Here is a 2,398-nt window from a genome sequence, read left to right as displayed (position 1 = left end):
ATACCTGTGTGGCAACTAAAGTAATAAAACTAGGTACTGTAGGATTTATGGGAAAGGTGGTGAATAGATATTTAAACACAGCAGGTTTTAGGTGGTGAATAGATATTTACCTAAATAGGTTCAAGGTAAAGTACACCGATGTATGAAAGGCCAAAACATCGTGTTTATACTGTGAGAGAATACAGTGTCTTTATTCCTTGTAGATCACAAGTTGACATTTGTGTGGAAATTTGAGTGCAAATGCCTGTTACTTGAAGCTATGCACCTAGGCTGGAAATCAGTTTTTCTTCTGTGGAAAGTGACATAAATCAGCCGGACAAAAGTGCTAAGTTTTCTCTTCACTGATAACATTTCAAATAGCAAATACTCTGTTTACAAGTTTAGAACATAAAGTTTCTCATTGAGTAAGAAAGCAGAAATCATTCAGAGATGATAATTTTTGTGACCCTTTATAGCTGCAACCAGACTTCGGCAGAAATATTGATTTCCATGAAGTCAGGAGATGGCTTTTGAGTTCTTCTCCCCTCAGCAGGATGGATTAAGTTGGTAGATTTTAACCTTCTCAGCTTTGTTTTATTTTCTGACCTGTTTAGAATTTACTTATCTCAGCATTATTCCTATTTCCAGTAACAAAGCTGAACTTGCTTGTTTATACTATATACAATTTGAAGTAAAGAAAACTACTACATTAGCTTCTACGTTTCAAAGTAAAATTAAGTAAAATTTGGTCATTTTTACTACCGTGAGTGTCCGTATACTTTTACTGCATTTGTATGTAATTTAATGTAAGTAGTTTAAATTTAACATTAGTATTAATGGTCTTGACTATGGGTGCCCTTTTTTCTATTGGCCCTTTTTTGTGCACACTTAGGTGATTTCTTACATTTTGGTATTAAATACTGTTTCAGATAACTTTCTTCTGCGTCCCTACTTTCCTAATGTACAAGGAAATTTGTCAGTAGGGATTTTATATTGATAGTCATGCAGCAACACACATGTACACTTGTACATGTTTAATATAAACAGACCAGTTAGATAATATAAATTGCAAAATAAAACAAGTACATATTGCCCAGTTCTCAAATGAAGAAACCAGTCTTCATGGCAAAATCTTTAGTATGAAGTCATTTGCCACTCTACAAAATAAACAAAGGTCGGTAGCTGTGGTTCAAGCTTGTAACCCAGCACTTTTGGAGGCCGAGAAAGTCAGATCACTTTAGGCTAGGACTTCAAGACCAGCCTGGCCAACACCAGGAAACCCTGTCTCTACCAAAAATAGAAAATTACCCAGACATGGTGGTGCATGCCTGTAGTACCTTAACTTGGGAGGCTGAGGCGTGACAATTGTTTGAACCCAGGAGGCTGAGTCTACAGTGAGCTGAGACTGCACCATGTACCCTAGCCTGGGTGACAGAGTGAGTCTTCAACTCAAAAATAAATATGAAAATAAACAAATAAATAAATAATAGGGCATCCTTCACTTCAGGCAGTTATCATTTCTCTCTCTCTCTCTTTTTTTTTTTTGAGACAGTGTCTCACTCTGTTGTCCACACTGGATTGCATTGGTATCATCATAGCTCACTGCAGGCTTGAACTCCTGGGTTCAAATGCTCATGCATCCCATTTCAGCTTCCTGAGTAGCTGGAATTACAGGCACCCACAACCATGTGCAGCATGTGTGTGTGTGTGTGTGTGTGTGTTCTTTTTGTTTGTGAACTATATTTTCTTTTGAATCACATCTTTTTATAACACAACCTTTCTATTCATTATTTCAGTTAATCTCTGGTTCAACTGCAGTGTGCTTTTATATTAACTTTTTTTTTTCATGGGGTAGCATGGTTTACACTTTACAAGCTCTGGTATATGTAAAGTTGTCTTTCCACTAATTTTCCATGAGTTTGAAAATTTAGGTGTAAGAAATTTTGGGTCATGCCATATTTTTTACCAAGAATTCTTTAGACATTGCCAACTATTCTGGAGTTTTGTTTATAGAACAGACATTAGAGGCCAATTTGACCAGTGACTTCTATTCAGGAAAATTCTTAATTTTTTTTTGTTATAAGATTTTTTAACACATTAACTTCAAAAATTTGACCAGGATAAGCTCAGTGCCTCTCCCAGTTTATATAAGTGAGGTTAACACAAGAACATTGTGTACTGTGCTGTTTGTTTATGCCATTAATTTACCTTGCTGAATGATCACTACCTGTTGACCTGCCTGCCTCCTTGCCTCCTCATAGACTCCACTTACCTCTTTAGCCACATTAATGTTGGCTTTTTAAATGCTGTATCTTTAGCATGTTGCACAGTACTTGATAAAGCATAACTCTCAATAAATATCTGTTGAGGAAATGAGTAAGCCAGCAAATATAAACCTTTCATAAAATTCCAGAATTTG

The sequence above is a fragment of the Homo sapiens genome, chromosome Y, assembly GCF_000001405.40.
Source record: "Homo sapiens chromosome Y, GRCh38.p14 Primary Assembly".
Classification (NCBI taxonomy): Eukaryota; Metazoa; Chordata; class Mammalia; order Primates; family Hominidae; genus Homo; species Homo sapiens.
Note: the sequence above shows the minus strand (reverse complement) of the source record.